This window comes from Homo sapiens, chromosome 10, assembly GCF_000001405.40.
Source record: "Homo sapiens chromosome 10, GRCh38.p14 Primary Assembly".
NCBI lineage: Eukaryota > Metazoa > Chordata > Mammalia > Primates > Hominidae > Homo > Homo sapiens.
The window spans coordinates 16,561,905-16,581,913 of NC_000010.11; the positions used below are offsets into that span (position 1 = coordinate 16,561,905).

The 20,009-nt window shown below is 40.0% G+C and overlaps 1 annotated feature.

Moving 5' to 3' along the window:
• Nucleotides 8,898-9,127: an enhancer, noted in NCBI's record as "active region_3099". NCBI's record gives its function as "activates an Ori minimal core promoter by ATAC-STARR-seq in GM12878 lymphoblastoid cells {active_cell/tissue: GM12878}" and the evidence as "EXISTENCE:reporter gene assay evidence [ECO:0000049][PMID:35858748]".

Here is a 20,009-nt window from a genome sequence, read left to right on the forward strand (position 1 = left end):
ATTTATTTTTGTGTTTTTAGTAGAGACGGGTTTCGCCATGTTTCCCAGGCTGGTCTTGATCTCCTGATCTCGTGATCTGCCAGACTCGGCCTCCCAAAGTGCTTGGATTACAGGTGCAAGCCACCACGCCCAGCCCTCAGGCATTTCTTTATAGCAATTCCAGAATGGACTAATGCAACCTTACTTACCCGTTTCCCATTTAGTAAAAGTGCAGCTTGCTGCCAGAACTCATTTAATTTTACATAAACACGCTCTTTGAAGTTGAAGCAAATCTGACTGATTTTCAATGTGAAAATGAAATATAAAACATGGCTGGGGCATGGTGGTTCATGCCTGTAATCCAAGCACTTTGGGAGGCCGAGGTGGGTGGATCATTTGAGAGAGATCAGCCTGGCCAACATGGTGAAACCCTGCCTCCACCAAAAATTGTCCAGGCGCAGTGGCTCACGCCTGTAATCCCAGCACTTTGGGAGACCAAGGCGGGCGGATCACGAGGTCAAGACATTGAGACTATCCTGGCTAACACGGTGAAACCCTGTCTCTACTAAAAATACAAAAATTAGTTGGGTGTGATGGCGGGTACCTGTAGTCTCACCTACTCAGGAGGCTGAGGCAGGAGAATTGCTTGAACCCAGGAGGCGGAGGTTGCAGTGAGCCGAGATCTCGCCACTGCACTCCAGCCTGGGCAACAGAGCGAGACTCCATCTCAAAAACAAAAACAAAAATCCTGTTCTTGGAGTTATTTGTAAACAAAACTAACATCAGAATCATCCGAATCATCAGAATTGTCTGTTCCAGAAAAATCAGATTCATGAAATGAATTTTCAGCCTACGGCTGTTAGAGAATCATATTAACATCATGTGTAGGAATGCCATGTTTTCTAGAATTTGACATTTTCAGCAATTGAGAATTACTATATTTTGTAAACGGAAATGCCACTACTAAAAACAGAATGCTATAAATAGAATGATGTCTTTGGTTTCCAAAGTCGATGAAATAGAGCGATACAATAATAATAAAAGTGAGCTATTTTGTGGCAAAGTTATCTCGGGGTGAATGCTGCATCCACAAGTACTGCTGGCAAGTATTCTCAGGGCAAACAGGAAAAGGGTTAAAAATCACTACTTTTTAGGCTGAGATTTCACAGAAGGTATGTAGACACAACCAAGCATCAGGAGTGACGGCAACAGAAAGCTATGTCAAGCATTCAAGAACCTAAGGAACAGGGTGCTGTGAGCCCTTGTTGGACAAAGTTGCTTGTTGACAAGATCCAGCAGCTCATGAATCAATACAAATTTAAAATTTTACCTTAATTACCAAATTTAGTGTACATTTAGTAATTAGGCCAGGTGCGGTGTCTGACGCCTGTAGTCCCAGCACTTTGGGAGGCCAAGGCGGTAGGATCACTCGAGCCCAGGAGTTCAAGACCGGCCTGGGCAACATAGTAAAACCCTGCCTCTAAAAAAAATAAATAAATTTAGTAATTAAGATGATATAGTGGAAGAACTAGCTGTGAACACTGAATCTCTTTAGATAAAGGACTAAGGATAAACATAATGGCAGTTGTGGTTAGGGCCATAATGAAAACCTTATAAACCTTGACAACATAAAAATAGTAATAAAACTGCAAAACTAGAAGGAGGAGGGAAAAATTGTAGGAGAAAGTATGAATGCTAATTTTCTAATCTTTTGTAGCAAGGAGTCAACAGAATCTGTTAAAATCAAAATACATGATTTAAAAATTATAATGGGTTGTTAGTTTACTTACTGAGTTTTGAGAAGTCTTTATATAACTCGGATACCCATTATCAGATACGTGCTTTGCAAATATTTTCTCTGGGTCTGTGGCTTGTCTTTTTTTCCTCTCAACAATGTATTTTGAAGAGCAGATGCTTTAAATTTGTGAGGAAGTCCAATTTATCATTGCAGTATCCCCAAGTTGGAAAGAACCCAAATATCCATCAACAGGTAATGATAAACAAATTGTGGTACATAGGTACAATGAAATATTATATGGTAATTAAAAGGAATAAACTACTGATGCATGCAACAACACATCAAATAATCTCAAAATAATTATCTGAGTGAAATAAGCCACACAAAATGAGTGTGTATTATATGATTCTATTTATAGAAAACCCTTAACAAATTCAAAATAATCAATAGTTTATAGAGAAAGAAAGCACATCTGTTTGGCGAAAGGTGGCAGGGAAGGGTAAAAGGAATCTGCAAAAGTGTACGAGGAAACTTTTGGTAGTGAAGGTGTGTTCACTCTCTCGAGTATGGAGATGGTTTCATGGCACGTACAAAGACAAAACTTACCACCTTCAATGCTTGGAGTTTGTGCAGTTTATAATTCGTCAAGTACAGCTCCAGAAAGCTGTTATAAAACAGAATAAGTCTATTTACTAGTCTGTGTTTTTATTAACTTTAGGGGGATTTTCCTTTTTTTTTTTTTTTTTTTTGTAGACAGAGTTTTACTCTTGTTGCCCAGGCTGGAGTGAAGTGGTGCAATCTTGGCTTACTGCAACTCCGCCTCACAGGAGTGATTCTCCTGCCTCAGCTTCCTGAGTAACTGGGATTACAGGTGCCCACCACCACACCCAGCTAATTTTTGTATTTTTAGTAGAGATGGGGTTTCACCATGTTGGCCAGGCTAGTTTCGAAATCCTGACCTCAGGTGGTCCACCTGCCTCAGCCTCCCAAAGTGTTGGGATTAGAGGCGTGACCGCCTGCACCCAGCTGCTTGTTTCTTACATGTGAGGGAAGCTGCGCTAGATACCAAATGCTTGGAGAGGTTGGGGATGGTGGCCAGGCAGAAGAGGAACACTTGGGGGAAGTATAAAGAACAGGGTTTATTTGCCACACAGCAGTCATTCTTGCTCCTGCCCTTTAGCTTTTTATGAAATACAAACACATCCTTACAGAGTGTGCACAGTTCCTGACTTGCTCTTACGAGGCTTTGTTGTTTCTTAATTCCAAATTATGACATGGATTGGGATTTTTTTTTCCTTACTTCCCTTGTTAAAATAGAAATAAAACAACCATTAGTAATTTTCAGATGGTTCCATTCTGAAAAATTTATCAGTAGACAGTTGAATTTTTTTGAGACACGGTTTTGTCATGTTGGCCAGGTTGGTCTTGAACTCCTGGCATCAGGTGATCTACCTGCCTCGGCCTACCAAAGTGCTGGTATTACAGGCATGAGCCACTGCATGTGACCTTTTTTTCTTTTTTTTTTTTTTTTTTGAGATAAGGTCTCACTCTGTCGCCCAGGCTGGAGTGCACTGGTGCAGGGAATACGGGGGTACACCACCATGCCAGGCTAATTAGAAAGAAATTTTTTTTTGTAGAGACAAAGTCTTACTACATTGTCCAGGCTGGTGTCAAACTCCTGGGCTCAAGCAATCCGCCTGCCGCAGCCTCCCAAAGTATTGGAATTACAGGTATAAGCCACTGCGCCCAGCATGAAGTACTTTTTACATGTATATATGTGTGTGTATATGTATTATGTAAGTAATATATATCACATGAGCATGTATAAAATATATATACATTATATGTAACATACATTTAAATGTATATACATATGTATATTAAATATATTTTATGTGTGTTTGTGTATGTATTTAATATGTACTACATATCTTAAACATGTATACATATTTATGTATTTGTGTACATAAACAAGGTTTGAAACAATGTTCAATGTGAATGATAGTAATTAGTGGTGAACTGACTTTTTTAAGACTCTATTTTGAGCTCTGTATTGCTTGAGTTTGTTGATTTGAAGCATACTGCATTTTTGGTAAACAAATAGTTATTAGTTACTATGAAGAAGGTGAGTGGCAGGAAGTCAACTGAACAGGCGGAAGAGCATTTCCGGAACTGGGAATTCTCATGGGAATAGTCTGAAGTGGGAGGGGCTTGGTGTGAAACAAACGAACAAGGAAAAAAACACACACAAAAAAACCCAACAGTGGAACATGAGGGAGTGTTCAGAGATGAGGGGAGGGCAGAGAGAGATCCTAATTAGATAGGACCTTGTAGGCTACCTGAAGCATTTAGGACTTCATCCAAGCTTGAAGCAGGGAAATGTCCTATCATGAGAAGATCACTGTGTTTAAAGTCTAGAGAGGTGACTGCTGTTTTTTTTAAAGGTATAGTCATAGGAAAATTATCAGTTTTGGTAAACCTGAGAGAACAACAATCCAGAATATATTGGGGTTTCCACTAAAATGAGGTGTGTTCTTCAGTCCCAGTGGATGCCACTCGGCAGTCAGTATTTTCGCCCAGGCTGGTATCTGTGCCTTTGAAGGGGAGTCTCGCCATTGCTTTGGGTCCTGTCACCCTCAGAAGATGATATAGCTGTAATCACACATATATATTCCCGTACAACATGGAGATCAAGCTTTGATCAGTTACGAAAGGAGAGTTCCTCATTTAAGATAGGCAGACAGACAGAGAGAGAGAGAGAGAGAGAAAGGCGGGGGTGGGGAAAGAGGTAGAGAGGGAAGTGGAGCATGGGGAAGGAGGCAAAGAGGGAGGTGAATAGTGGCCTGGGGAGGGAGGCAGAAAGTGGGAGGTGACGGGGTACACAGAGGCAGAGCGAGAGGGAGGGAGGCAGAGAGGGAAAGAGTGAGGGAGGAAGCAGAGATAAAGGGGGAGAGGCAAAGTGAGGTGGAGTGGGAGGAAGAGAGACAAACAGAGGGAAAGAGTGAGGGAGGAGGCAGAGAAAGGGGGAGAGGCAGAGAGAGAGAGGTGGAGTGAGGGGAGAGAGACACACAGAGGGAAAGAATGGGGAGGAGACAACGGGGGAGAGGTAGAGAGGTGAAGTGAGGGGAAGAGAGACACACAGAAGGAGAGAGAAGAGGGAGGGAGAGGAGGGGAAGAAAGAAATGGAGAGACAAAGAATTGCAGAACCAAGCACAGCTGAATGGAGTTCATACGAAACTGAAAGCAGACAAGAATAGAGAGGGAAAGAAGAGAGGAAAGGAGGGTGGAAGAAGAAATAAAATGAAGCAAGAAGGGTCAACAGCAGCAGACCTGGGTGAATTCCTCCAGGCCCCAGCCTTGCTGTAATTATTTAGCTCAGTGAGTTTAGGCACCAGCGCCAGCCCCCCGAGGGCTCGTCTGAGACCCTTCACTGTGACCAATTAGTTTCACTGCATCCCCTGATCTGCCTCGGTCATTTTTCATCACCTCGGGTCGTGGGCTTCAGGTTTTCACACCTCAGGTTATTTTTCTATGAAATGGGAGCAGTGATATATTTTGACCTCATGGGACTGCTTTTTAAAAATGTGCATAATTTACTTGAAGCAAGAATGACAATATTTAAAAAAGAATTCTCAATTCAGAGTGAATTTTTTTGCCTTTTCTAATTTGTCAATAAACAAAAATTAACTAAGGCTCCACTTTTGTGTTCAAAAAAGCCCAGTTCCAAGTTCAAAGCTGTGGAGGAGACAAAGTAGATATTGAAAAGCATCCCTTTTCATCAAAATTCACAACTTCTCGTCTTCAAATGACAATGTTAAGAAAATAAAGAGGCAAGCCACAGATTGGAGAATCATAATACATATATCCTTTTTTTGTTTGTTTGTTTTTGTTGTTGTTGTTGAAAAAGAGTCTCACTGTGTTGCCCAGGCTGGAGTGCAGTGGCACAATCTTGACTCACTGCAACCTCCATCTCCCAGGTTCAAGAGATTCTCTTGCTTCAGCCCCTTGAGTAGCTGGGACTACAGGCACGAGCCATAGAGCCCAGCTAATTTTTTTTCCTTTTTTTTTTTTTTTTTTTTTGTATTTTTAGTAGAGACAGGGTTTCACGATGTTGGCCATGTTGGTCTCAAACTCCTGACTTCAAGTGGTCCGCCAGCCTCGGCCTCCCAAACTGCTGGGATTACAGGTGTGAGCCACCACACCCAGCCTATAATACATATATCCAGCAAAGGACTACATCTAAAAAATAAAAAGAATTATTGCAATTCAACGATAAGACAACCTGATTTTTTTTAATGAGAAATGATATGAATCAATATTCACATGCCTGAGCACATGGAAAGAAGCTTAACATCATTAGTCATTACCCACAACTGCATCCTTCTACAGACCCACTACAATGGCCGAAAGTGAAAAGATTGCCAACAGCAAGTGTTAGCAAGTGTAAGGAACAAGTTGAAGTCTCATACACTGCTCATGAGGATATAAAATTGTTCAACCCCTCTTGAAAACAGTTTGATAGTTTCTTATAAAATCATATTATCATGTGCCATACAACAGGGCTCCCCAACTCTCAGGTGGTGGACTGGTACCGGTCCCTGGCCTATTAGGAACCAGGCGGCACAGCAAGAGGTGAGTTGGGAGCTAGCATTACTGCTTGAGCTCCACCCTCCGTCAGATCAGCAGGGACATTCGATTTTTTTTTTTCTTTCTTTCTTTCTTTCTTTCTTTTTTTTTTTTTTTGAGATGGGAGTTTTTTGCTCTCGTCGCCCAGGCTGGAGTGCAGTGATGTGATCTTGGCTCACTGCAACCTCTGCCTCCCAGGTTCAAGCGATTCTCCTGCCTCAGCCTCCCGAGTAGCTGGGATTACAGGTGCATGCCACCGCACCTGGCTAACTTTTTTGTATTTTTAGCAGAGATGGGGTTTCACCATGTTGGTCAGACTGGCCTTGAACTCCTGACCTCAGATGATCCACCCACTTTGGAGTGGAACCCTATTGTGAACTGTGCATGCCCAGGATCTAGGTTGTATGCTCTGTATGAGACTCTAACGCCTGATGATCTGAGGTAGAACAGTTTCATCCCAGAAACATCCCACGCCACCCACAGTCTGTGGAAAAAGTGTCTTCCACAAAATGAATCCCTGGTACAAAAAAGATTGGGGACTGCCGCCCTACAATACTCTTCCTAGATGCTTACCCAAGAGAAATAAATATGTCCACAACAAAGGTTTATTTATGAATAGATAAAGCAGCTTCACTGATAATGGCCCCAAACTGGAAACAAAAATGGCTGTCATCAATTGAATGTCTACACATGTTACACTATGTTCTCACAAGCCGAAAAAAGAAAATGAACGGCTGATACAGGAAACGTGGGTGAATCTCAGAAGCATTGTGCTGAGTAAAGGAAGCAGACACAAAATTCTACACTCTTTAAGATTGATTGATATAAAACTCCAGAAAAGAGAAATCTAATCCAATTCATAGTGATATAAAATACGTTAGCATTTGCCTAGGGCTGAGGGGTAGAGGGTGTTGCCTGGGAAGGACCAAAAAGGAACTTTTGGGGTGATAAAATGTACCTTGATTGTGGTAATGGTTACACAGGTGTGCACATTTGTCAAAACTTACGGAAATGTATACTTAAATTGGGTGTATTATTTTATTGTATATAAAGTGTACCTCAATAAAACTGATTTAATTTTCTAAAAAAAATAAAAGCTTACATCAAGGGGTAGCAAGACTAAGAATCATTGCATCCTTAGGGCATTTTATTCCAAATTATATCAATTTGAGGAGGTGGAGAATTTTCTAGTAGGGGATCTTAAAGTCTGTTCTAATATTAACATACTTTCTATATTAATGTTACTATCAATCATATCTCAATCTATAAAGTGACAAAGATGCTAAGTAAATCAAGCTGCATACAAAGTCCCTCTAGTGACATCTTGACTATCCTTTATAATGTCATCTGCCTTCAAACAAATCAGATTTTGTCCTAAGAGGTACTATTCATAATATTGGTGCCATCGGTTTTACATTTATTGTGTGTACTGGCTAATAGCAAGGTTTTTTTAAGCTTAAGAGGCTCAAGTGACATTTGAAAAATATCTGAGATGAAGAATGTAGTAGATGAATAATTTCCTTAATCAGTGTAATTGCCAAGAAATTGATTATCACAGTTTATAACTGGTTCGTAGGAATATTTTTGAAGGCCTTGGACTACTGTCAAATTAAATGTGTTACCAATGATCATTTATATTATAAAAAAGAAGAGAATAATCAAAAGCTACTTTTTCATATCCCTTCTGCTCAAATTCCTTCCAATTACTGTCACTCATTCTTTTGTGGAATTTATTGCCATTACCTTTTCATGGCACACTTGAGCTCTGATGTACCCATAAGAGCAAGAATTGTTGCACAAATGCAAAATGCTCTGATTATAGCAGAATAACGTAGACTTTGCTTACGCAAGAATGACAACATTTCCTTGCTGCCTTAATCTTTGCAAAATATTCCTTGTCTGGTTCATCCTAGATGTGCAAGGCTTATAATTCTGTCAACTAACACCTGTGGAAAGGTCTCCTTTGGTTGTTTATTTCTTGTTTTTTGTTTTGTTTTGTTTTTGAGATGGAGTCTCACTCTACGGCCCAGGTTGTGGAGCAGTGGTGCAATCTCAGCTCACTGAAACCTCTGCCTCCCAGCAATTCTCTGACTCAGCCTCCTGAGTAGCTGGGATTACAGGCACCTGCCACCATGCCCGGCTAATTTTTATATTTTGAGTAGAGACGGGGTTTCACCATGTTGGCCAGGCTGGTCTTGAACTCCTGACCTTGTGATCCACCCAGCTCGGCCTCCCAAAGTGCTGGGATTACAGGCGTGATCCACCATGCCTGGCCTCCTTTGCTCTTAAGGTAAATCTAGTTGCAGGGGAATCTAGGCATCTCACTTTCCACTTTGTTTTTATTTGTCATTATTAGGGAAACTAAATGATAAGGATGATTTAAAAGTCTTCTAGAGTTACCAATGCCAATTGCCTGACTGATGTGGACAGTGGGATTTTTTGGTCTGACATCTACCTTCTGGCATCTCATTTTGGATCATCTTCAGTAATAGGTTTCATTCTTGCTTGAGCCATACCCGTTGCACCCTTAGAAGGAAACCACCCAACAAGCGTCTATTGCATGCTAGGCACTGTAGAACGAGTTTTAATTCTCCAAACCTCCCTACAAGGTAGCAATTATTGTTGTCATTTCCATTTTTGCAGAAAAGAAAACTGAAACTAAGAGAGGTCACGTCATTTCCCCAAGGACACACAGCTAATGATTAAAAGAGGTAGGAGTCAAATGTAATCTGTCTGACTTCACAGTCACCAAGGTATACTACTTTTCTTATTGCAAACCTTGGTGCCTACTTATGCAGACATCAAAGACAGTCCAACTCTGTTCAATGGAAGAGAGATTTTGCACAGAGAATAAGGATAGACTCAACCCAAAACTAAAAGTCAATCTGGTAGAGAGTAGAAAGATAGTTACCAGAGGCTGGGAAGGGTAGCATGGGGTAGGGAGAAGTGGGGATGGTTAACAGCTACAAATAAACCCTGAAGTAATTAATAATACCTAGTATTTGATAGCACAGCAGGGAGACTATAGTCAAAATAATTTAATTGTGCATTTAAAAATAACTAAGAGTGTAATTGGATTATTTATAACACAAAGGATAAATGTTTGTGGGGATGGGAACCCCATCTTCCATGGTGTGATTATTAAACATTGCATGCCTGGATCAAAAGATCTCATGTACCCCATAAATATATACACCTATGTACTCACCATTTTTTTAAAAAGTCAACTTGGTATATAATTTTGACCTTATACTGCAAGCAAATTAAAATAAGAATAGTAGTTACACATGTGAATCCTTTACTAAAACTCTACTAATTTTCAACAAGTTTGATCCAAATAAATTCATTTTTAAGAGCTAATCAGAAAATATTTGGAGGGCAGATAGATAGTATCTGTATCTATTAAATGTGTAGATTTACACATTTACACAGTAGATTACAGACCACTAGGCACCTGTAATCCCAGCTGCTCAGGAGGCTGAGGCAGGAGAATCGCTTGAACCCAGGAGGCGGTGGTTTTAGTGAAGCGAGATCGCACCACTGCACTCCAGCCTGGGTGACACAGCGAGACTCTGTCTCCAAAAAAAAAAACAAAAAAACAAAAAAACCACTAGGCAATTGGAGATGAAGACCAGAGTTTTAAGATAATCATTCCACATTAATTCCTATTAATTACAAAATTTAGATTGTACATTTTTGATTCAGTATTTCCACTTCTCAAATCTGTCTTACAGTAAAACTTGCTCAAGTATTGAAATACATGTGTACAGAAACATTCTCGGCAAAAGCGATTGTCAGAGCAAAAACAAAGAATCCAACAAGCCATAATTGGAGATTGGTTAAGAATCTTTTGCTACATTTATTCAATGGTATTACAATGTAAATTTAAAAGAAAGAGATAGAGTTATACCATGTAGGAAGCTATCCAAAATATATTATGTAGAAATGTATATGATGCATAACAATATGTATGCTATTTTTGTAAAAATAAAAAGATATATTTGCATATGCATAGAAAAACCAGGAAAGATACAGTTTAATTATTAACAGGGGTTATCTGTATGAAAATATTGATGAGATAAATAAAAGGAGGGAGGATAATATTTTATTTGTTATCTTAAGTACTCTCAGATGTCTGCAATAAAAATGTGTGTGTGTGTGTTTTAAATAAAAGCAAAGTAGGCCAGGCACAGGGGTTCATGCCTATATTACCAGCGCTGTGGAAAGCTGAGGCAGGTGGATCACTTTGAGCTCACGAGTTCAAGGCCAGCATGGGCAACATGGCAAAACCCCATCTCTAATAAAAGTACCAAAAAAAAAAATTAGGTGTGATGGCACACACCTGTGGTCCCAGCTGCTCAGGAGGCTGAAGTGGGAGGATGGCTTGAGCCCGGGAGGCAGAGGCTACAGTGAGCTGTGATCATGCTGCTGCACTCCAGCCTGGGTGACAGAATGAGACTCTGTCTCAAAAAAGTAATAGTAATAAATAAAAGCAAAGTAGGCCAGGTGAGGTGGCTTACGCCTGTAATCCTAGCACTTTGGGAGGCCGAGGCAGGCAGATCACTTGCTGCCAGGGTTCGAGACCAGCCTGGCCAACATGGTGAAACCCTATCTCTACTAAAAATAAGAAAATTAGCTGGGCTTGGTGGCATGTGCCTGTAATTCCAGCTCTTCAGGAGGCTGAGGCAGGAGAATCACTTGAACCCGGGAGGTAGAGGTTGCAGTGAGCTGAGATTGTGCCACAGCACTTCAGCCTGGGCAACAGAGTGAGACTCCATCTCTAAATAAATAAATAAATAAATGTAAAGTATTTGAATGTATAGTGCTCTTTACTTTTTACAGTATATTCAGGTATATGTAGTCATTGTTTAATTTTCATTCTATGTTTTTTATTTCAAAAGCTGTAAGGGTATAAGTGGTTTTTGGTTCCATGATGAATTGTAGAGTGGTGAAGTCTGAGATTTTAGTGTACCCGTCACTCAAGTCATATACGTTGTACCCAATATGTAGATTTTTTATCCTTCCTACTCCTCCTACCCTCCCTGTATACTCATTTTTAAAAACTGAATGAATAAATCAAATTATTAACAGTGATTATCCCTGGACAGTGAGACCAAGATTTATTTTTAATTTTGTGCTGTATGTTTTATATTTAAAAGTTTTCCCTCATGAATGTGGATTGATTTTAGTCATCATAAACTGTATGAGTCCCTGGGGAGAAACATTCTCCTTTCTGGAACTTGGCTCTATCAACATCCCAAATAGACTGAGAGAGTAGGATGATCCTTTACTTTTGTTGGGCAAAACAACATATTTACAACTTAAAATACTTGGTTCTACCAAACAAACAGAGTGTTTTGGTTTTCTGAACATACGTAGGCATGTTCTTGTGTCCCGAATGTCTTGGAAATATCAGTTCCCAAGGGCTGTATCAGTTGTCCCGTAACAGTTGTTAAGCTCTTGACTGCAAGTAACAGAAGTTCCAAAAGAATGTGGCTTAAATGATAATACTATCTCATATTAGAAAAACATCTCAAGATGGTTCTAGAGTTGGTTAATTCAGTGACTCAGTGTCATCATGAGAGACCCAGAATTTGTGTGTCTTTCAACCCTGATTTTCTTGGGAATATACTAAAACCAATCCATTAACAAGGACTAATCCACATGAGTGAATAGCAGAAAATACGGTTACATAGGAGAATTAGGACAGGACTGGAAATACAAATGTATTTAGATATAAAAAGAAATAGGTCACTGTCCTGATGAGTGTGTGTAAGGGAGTTGGCTTCCCTGCACTGTAAGGATTGATTTCATGGGGGACAGATTGGATTCAGGGAAACAAATTGGGAAGATATAACAGTGTCCTTGGCAGCTAGGGGACTGAATTAGGTGACGATAAGGGGAACAGAAGGGAGTGGTAATAGATTAGATGAATTTTATAGGGAACATGGACAGAACCTGGCTAGATATGGAGGGTGAAAGATAGGAATAATTAGAAGATAAAGTTTTTGATCTTGGTGGCCTCAAGGATGGGAATAAAAGTGACAAGATTTGGGGGAAAAAAAAGCCAATTTTTGTTCACAGGTGATCGTGGGTTTTTTCATAACCATGTTGAAATAGAGGTAGCAATGAAACATTCCAATAGAAATGACCACTAGGCACCTGTAATCCCAGCTGCTCAGGAGGCTGAGGCAGGAGAATCGTTTGAACCCAGGAGGCGGTGGGTTTAGTGAGGCGAGATTGCACCACTGCACTCCAGCCTGGGTGACACAGCGAGACTCTTGTCTCCAAAAAAAAAAAAAAAAAAAAAAAAAAAAGCCACTAGGCAATTGGAGATGAAGACCAGAGTTTTAAGATAATCATTCCACATTTACCAGTCCCAAATGTGGAGATACGACTTCAGAACAGTGTGACTACTTTCTCCACAACTACAACTTGCACAAAGTACAAAGGTCATAAACTCACAAACTTTAAAAAAAAATCTATGTGGTTCAGTCCACAGGTACTACATGTTTCCAATCCTATTAATTTCTCATTTAGCCATTCCCTCCTGAAGAGGATATAGGATATGGGCTGAGAACAGAAGATTATTTCTCTGCAGAGTTCATTTTATGTTTTCAGATACCATCATCATCCAGGAAGATTTATTTATTGACAAATTAAAGTTGAGCTATATCGGGTGTTGCACAGAGATAACAGCACAGATATGGTCCCTGGCTTTGAGACTTTTACTTATACAAATGAGTAAAGTATTCACAGGCAGAAAAAACAAAATTCTAAACAATGGACAAGTAGGAAGTATGGACATCGTGTACAGGTTGAAAGTATTGCAGAGGAGAAGGAAGAGAGAATATTAGAGAATTATAGGGAACATTCCATAATTATACAAAATGGTAAAAGAGGCAGTGCAGTGTGAAAGTGAGGTGGTCACGGGACTCCTGCCTTATCATTGAATCACTGAACTACTGCATGGTCTTCAGCAAATCAGTTAAATTCATGGAGTTTTCATCTCTCCATCTGTCAAACACCACTGACATCTGTTTGAGGAGAAATTTACCTGTTTGCTTATTCAACAAATGCTGATTGAATTTTACCTCCATATGATGGTCCCTTTGGTTGGATCTAGAAATGTAAAAATTAGCATAACATAACCCTTACCTTTGGAGAAAGTTAGTAAAAAAACATTTACTAGGAGGGAAGTGTATCAGTTGGTATGCTTTTGACTGCAAGTAACAGAAGTTCCAACAAAATGTGGCTTAAATAATATCTTGCATTTAAAAAGTCTCAAGATATAGAGGGTTCTAGAGTTGGTTGATTCAGTGGCCCAATGTCATCATGAGAGACTCAGATTTTTCTGTCTTTCAACCCTGATGGGTTCAGTATGTTGGCTTCAGTCTTCACACTTGTGGATAAAAATGGCTGCCACAGCTCCAGCCATCAAATCCTGATGCAACTGAAGATTGAAACTGTGAGGATTAACAGAAGTGATGCATATACAATACATAGGCCTTGGCACCTAGAAATTGCTCAATGGATTTTAGCTTTCATTTACTTTTGATATTATGTGATACTATCTTGCTCTAAAGAAATTTCTTATATTGGATTGCTAGAGCTTTCATAACAAAGTGTTATGGTTTGGCTGTGTCCCCACCCAAATCTCATCTTGAATTGTAGTTCCCATAATCCCTACATGTTGTGGGAGGGGCCAGGTGGACATAATTTAATCATGAAGGCTGTTACTCATGCTGTTCCCATGAGATCAGATGGTTTTACAAGAGCCTATTCCCCGTTTGCTCAGCACTTCTTGCTGCCACCATGTGAAGAAGGATGTGTTTGCTTTTGTTTTTGCCATGATTGTAAGTTTCCTGAGGCCTCTCCAGCCCTGCAGAACTGAGTCAATTAAACCTCTTTCCTTTGTAAATTACTCAATCTCGGGTATGTCATTATTAGCAGAGTGAGAACAGATTAATACAAAAGTCTCAAAAACTGAGTGGCTTAAGCAACATAAATTTATTGTCTCATAGTTCTGGAGGCTATAAGTCTGATATCAAGATGATAGCAGGGTTGGTTCCTTCTGAGGGCTGAGAAGGAGGGATCCATCTTAACCTCTCTCTTTGGCTTTAGATTCATCTTCTCCCTGTGTCTCTTCCCATTATCTTCTCTCTTTGTATGTCTCTCTTTTTAATAACATTAAAAGAAATAAGATCATCAGTCATATTGGATCAGTTGCTCACCCTATTCCAGTATGACTTTATCTTAACTAAATATATCTGCAGTGACTCTGTTTCCAAATAAGGTCACACTATAAGGTTCCATTGCTGAGGACTTCAACATACGAATTTTTGGGGAGGTATAATTCACCCTAAGAGCACTACTCATTTATGTGCTTTAGTTCACGTGTCTGTTTACTAAAGACTTTAAAAAGATTTTAAAATAATCTTTCCAGAGAGAGAAAATAAGTGAGGAAATAAGAACTTGGCCAAGTGTTCAGTGTACTGGGTCTCCCTTCTATGTAGCACATTCCCTTTCTCTGACTACGGGTGGATTTCTGATCCACTTGGAGGTGAAAGCTGTTGTGGAAATTGTGCATATACTGAGCTATTTCTAAAAATAATTATGTTATCTTCCTTGGTTTTGTTTCTGTCACTCTTTTCCCTTCCAACTTCATTTCACTTATTTTCTTGCTCTTTTTAAGAAAAAGGGGGAAAATCATATTGTATTCATTTGCATTTCTTCCCACAATGGGGGAAAATACCAATGGCCAGGAGCTTGTGAGTGCATTTTTGTCTTGTTGCCATCCTTTTCTTCCATGAGAGACTGTGGCTGGAAGTTGGCCATGGTTTATGTAGTCCACCAACCAAAGCAAAACATAATACCTTTTACCAACTTTCAAGCTCTTCTGGATGCAGGAAGGGTTTGTAAGCTATGAAAAGTTGAGTGAGCACTCTCAGCTGCTTTTGGGAAACACAAAGATCATCTGGATGGTCATTTAGGACCACAGTCACTCTGCCCCTGGCCTGGAGGGAAGCTGGATGGGAGGGAGCCCTGAGTTTCATTGCTGGAAAGAGATGGAAACTGAGAGGAGACCTAACAAAGACTCCTGCTCATCAGGTGGATAGCAGCCTTCTTCATTATGCCAAGCTGAGAAGCTGTCTGGTCTTGGCTTCTTCATTTATACTAGCTCCTGGCTACCTTCCTCTTCTTTTGTCTTTCTCATCCACCAGACCTCTTACTGTTTGTGAACTGAAGCTTTTTAATTTTGTAACTCAGAGCCCTCCAACCCAGAGCCATTTCCACCAGTGCACACTGGCACTTTACACCCACTCAGTGGAATGGAGAACTTGGCATCTACCCTGCTGTTTGATAAAAATGATCAGGTTGGTTCACGGTGATTACTCACAGATGCTTGATTCACGGTGATATGAACAATTTTTAATTTCAAACTAAGCTGTCTGAAAACCAAATTAAAGACTTTTCGTTTCTTTTTTAATGCTTACCATTAATATTTTTAAAGGAGAAAATGAAAAAAAAAAGTTTTAACATCTCCAACAGTGTGTTCCATGAGTTTCCTGGTGGGAGGTGATAAAGGCATTTTTTTAACTGACTAAAAATGGTTAGCCACAACACCATGAAAATATCTCAGAATGTTTTAAAATGAAAAAATTCTGTGACATGGAAATAGCAATTTAGAGGGGGCCCAGGGGTTGATGGAAGCTTTGAATGGCTGATTTGATTCTTCTCTAAACCTCATGATTTCCACACCAATTTCCATCTACTTCAAAAAAGCAAGCCTCCTGAGATACAGAGCTGGGGGGCGGGGGGAAATAGGGGGACCATTTGTTATTTTGGACACAGATGATTCCAACTGAGGGAGGACATTAAAATGTTTCAAGAAACACAGCCTTTGAAATACAGCAAGAGGTTCACATCTATAACAGACTCTTCCGTAATGTCAACCCCCTCCACCCAGTGCAGAACCCTTTTGTGACTCTGCAAGCTTCAGAGCTCACTCCCTAGGCACCTTTGAAGCAGTGGAATTTAGCTAGAGCCTGTACCGATGCTTAACAACTCTTGCGCCACACACAGATCTAAGCATAAAATTATGGTAGACAACATCATTCTCAAAACTTCTGCCACGTTAAACTTTTCTGTTGAAAAGTGGGCAGAAGTCCGCTCCTTGGCTGTGTATTTCCAGAGGGAGGAGAAATGAACACCCTTAAGAGGAGGATTTCAGTTGATCTGACTGGAAAACAAACAAAAAACTTTAACCAAATTTACGTGTCCAAAATAGAGGCATGATGAAGGCAATTTAGGATGATTTGCCTTTACTTCAAACAATACTGAATGAAAATGTGACTCCCATCATTCTGGTTGTTAATTTTTTATTGTCATGCAGATTTTCCACGACAATTTTTCTGCTACCCTCACCTGCCTCCTCCATGTTATTCTGGCAGTTCTAGGCTTTTGATGCCCATGAACAAGGCTACTCAAGGGCTATCCCTCGAACATCTTTCTAGATAATTAGTTATTCTGGGGATTCCTTATTTTTTATGGATTCAAGCTCCCTCTTAGGGAGAGCTGCTTGGGGTTTGTATCCTTGTTTTAGAGGAGATCGAGGGTTTATAGGGGTGAGAGAGGGAGTAGGGGAGGAAAAGATGTAACAGGATGCTGCTGTTCATTTCATACAGGTTTAATGTTTGTCCCACCCTGGGTGAATGAAAAAGATCAATGGGTGGGGATATGTAAACATACAACTTAGCAGTGCCATATTATGCTGGGGTTATTTGAATTTAACTGAAACAATGTGTAAGGAGCCAGAACATATCAGAGACCAGGTCAAACCATAGTTAGTTCTCTTCCTTTATCTTCTGGCTCTGTTAGCTTGGGAGAGAAATCTAGTTCCAAATGAACAGAATGGTCTACAAGAGACCTGCTGGAAATATATGTGTCTGCTAAGGGAATTGAGATGGATTTTTAACTCAAATATAGTTCTCTGCTTCAGGCAGTCTTCAAAAGGTATAGGAAACTACCAGCTCTGTTTCACTAGCCCTTCGGTTTACTTGATCTTTCTCATTGGTTTTGAACAAAATACGCTCATCTTTGCATGAGCTCTTATTGTGCCTTTCTGAGATAATTAATGAAAGGGGGTTGTTTTTGGTCTTTTGGGTTGTATTTTCACCCCAACCTCAATCAGTCTCTGACGTTATCCAAATAAACATCTTGTTATATCATGTTCCAGGTATCAGGGCTTTTACCATGTGGGCTTTGAATCAGCTTGACTTGACCCTGGTGGTTTGCCTTCAAATCCAACAGTGGGGCTGAGTGTTTTGCACTGTGGCACAATAACCATTATGCCACGTTCTTAGGCTACTGACACTTTGCTGTTGGTAACTCCATGCAGTCTCCAAATAGCAAATCTCCTAAATCATTCAACTCCTCATAAAAGAGACAAAAGCTACAGATACTGTCATTCCCACTTTTCAGGAGAGTGAGGTATATATATACACACACATATATATATGTATGTGTGTATATATATGTGTGTGTATATATGTATTACATATATACATATATATTACATAGATAGATTGATTGATTCATGCGTGCATAGGGTCCCAGCTACTTGGGAGGCTGAGGCGGTAGAATCGCTTGAGGCTGGAATGTCAAGGATGTTGGGAGCCATGATCATGCCACTGCACTCCAGCGTGGGTGACAGAATGAGACCCTGTCTCAAAAAGAAAACAATAAAAAAAAGAAATTCTGAGGATAGACCACATTAGCATACATTTCGTTGGTTTGTTTCTATTCTTCTTTAGTATTTTACTGAGATGATTCTTTAATGATGTCTGGATGTCCAGATTCTTGTCTTTTATTTTGCCACTAATCTGCTGTGAGACTCTTGAATTTCTGGGATCACTCAACTTGTCTCTGTGCTTCTATTTTCTCATCAGCCAAATAAAGGGACTGAACAAGATGTTCTCTGGAAGCCTTGCCTGAGCACATCCTTCAAGGTTCTCTGACATCCAGTTTTCAGACTATGATCTTTGTATAAGAGGAGGAGGGGGATGTGGATAAGATGATGACAGTATTTTTTTTTTCCCAAAACTTTGATTAAACGAAATTGGCTGAGTAGGAAACTTATATCTATCTACTCTTGTCTCCATATATAATGGCATAAGTTGCTAACTATATGCAAGGAAGCATTCTTGGGAAAATGTGAAAAATGTAAATGTGGTAAGAACTCTTTTATAATGTGTACATATGATCTCTATAAAGTTGGTGATCTCTGTTCTCTTGCAGTCAGAAATCATATAGAAAAAGAAATCAATGAGAAGCTAGGAGGGCTGTATTAGTGCCCTTGAAGGGTAAAATGGCAAAATGAAAGTTGTCTTATAACAGGAATGTCATTATCTGATTCAGTGTGACGAGTTGGTGCCTGGACTCAGATTAGTGTCATTGTAGAGCTCTGATTTTATGACAGTTTGTTAAATGCTGGTGCAGTGGTGAACTCAATTTGTGCTAATTGGTCTTCATGCTGAAAAGAAGTTTATTACCCTTTTAAAAAGTTAGCAGTCAAAACCAATAACCAGATTAAATGCCATCTTCCCAGTTCTTGGTTTTCTACAAGAATGGAAATGGGTATGGATATACCATTGCTGTGGAATAGAATGGCTGCCATTTTGCTATTTAAGGCCAGTAAAATAAATGCTGGTCTTGTTCACCTTGGTCTCCATGCAGAAAATGGCCTGACACAGCTCATCACCCAGGGGCTACTGTGCCAAGACAGTCTGATACATCTATTCTCCACCTCTCCCAAGTGGTCTTTTAAATAACTACATGGGATCATATGGATTCTCTGCTTCAAATCCTTCAGTGGGTTCCCTTTGGGTTTGTAAGCAAATCCAACCTCCATGAGATGGCTGGAATAGCCCTGTGTCTGTTCACTGTTGTGTCCCTGGTGCTGGGAACAGCATGAGGCATGGAGTAGGTGCCCAGTGAATGCTTGTTGAATGAATAAAGATCCTGCAAGGTCTTGTCCCTGTTCTTTCCTACCTCTTCACTCTGCTCCAGCCACACTGACCTTCTTCCAGTTAGAGAAACAGACCACGCTCCTGTTCTGCTGAAGAGCTTCATCATGCCGCTAATTTCCTTCTTCTTGTCTAGTTAACTTCTGCTTTCTTTCAGATGACTCATAATTCCCTCAACAGTTTTCCATGATGCTCTGATCTTACTTGGTCCCTTTTATTATGCATTCTTACAGTACCAAATTCTTCTCTTTCAGATAATTATCCAATTCTGATTGACACAATTATTTTGTGAATATTAGTTTATAGTTTCTTCCATTACGCTAGGCTATTAAGTTCCATAAGGGCAGAGATTGTGTCTGCTTCATTTAAAACTATATGCTCAAGACATGCAATCAACCTAAATGTTCATCAGTGGAAGACTGGATAAATGAAACCTGGTACATATACACCATCGAATTCTATGCAGCCATGAAAAAGAACAAGAACATGTCCTTTGCACAAACATGGATGGAGCTGGAGGCCATTATTCTTAGCAAACTAATGCAGGAACAGAAAACCAAAGACAGCATGTTCTCACTCACAAGTGGGAGCTAAATGATGAGAACACATGGACACAGACACTGGGGCCTGCCTGAAGT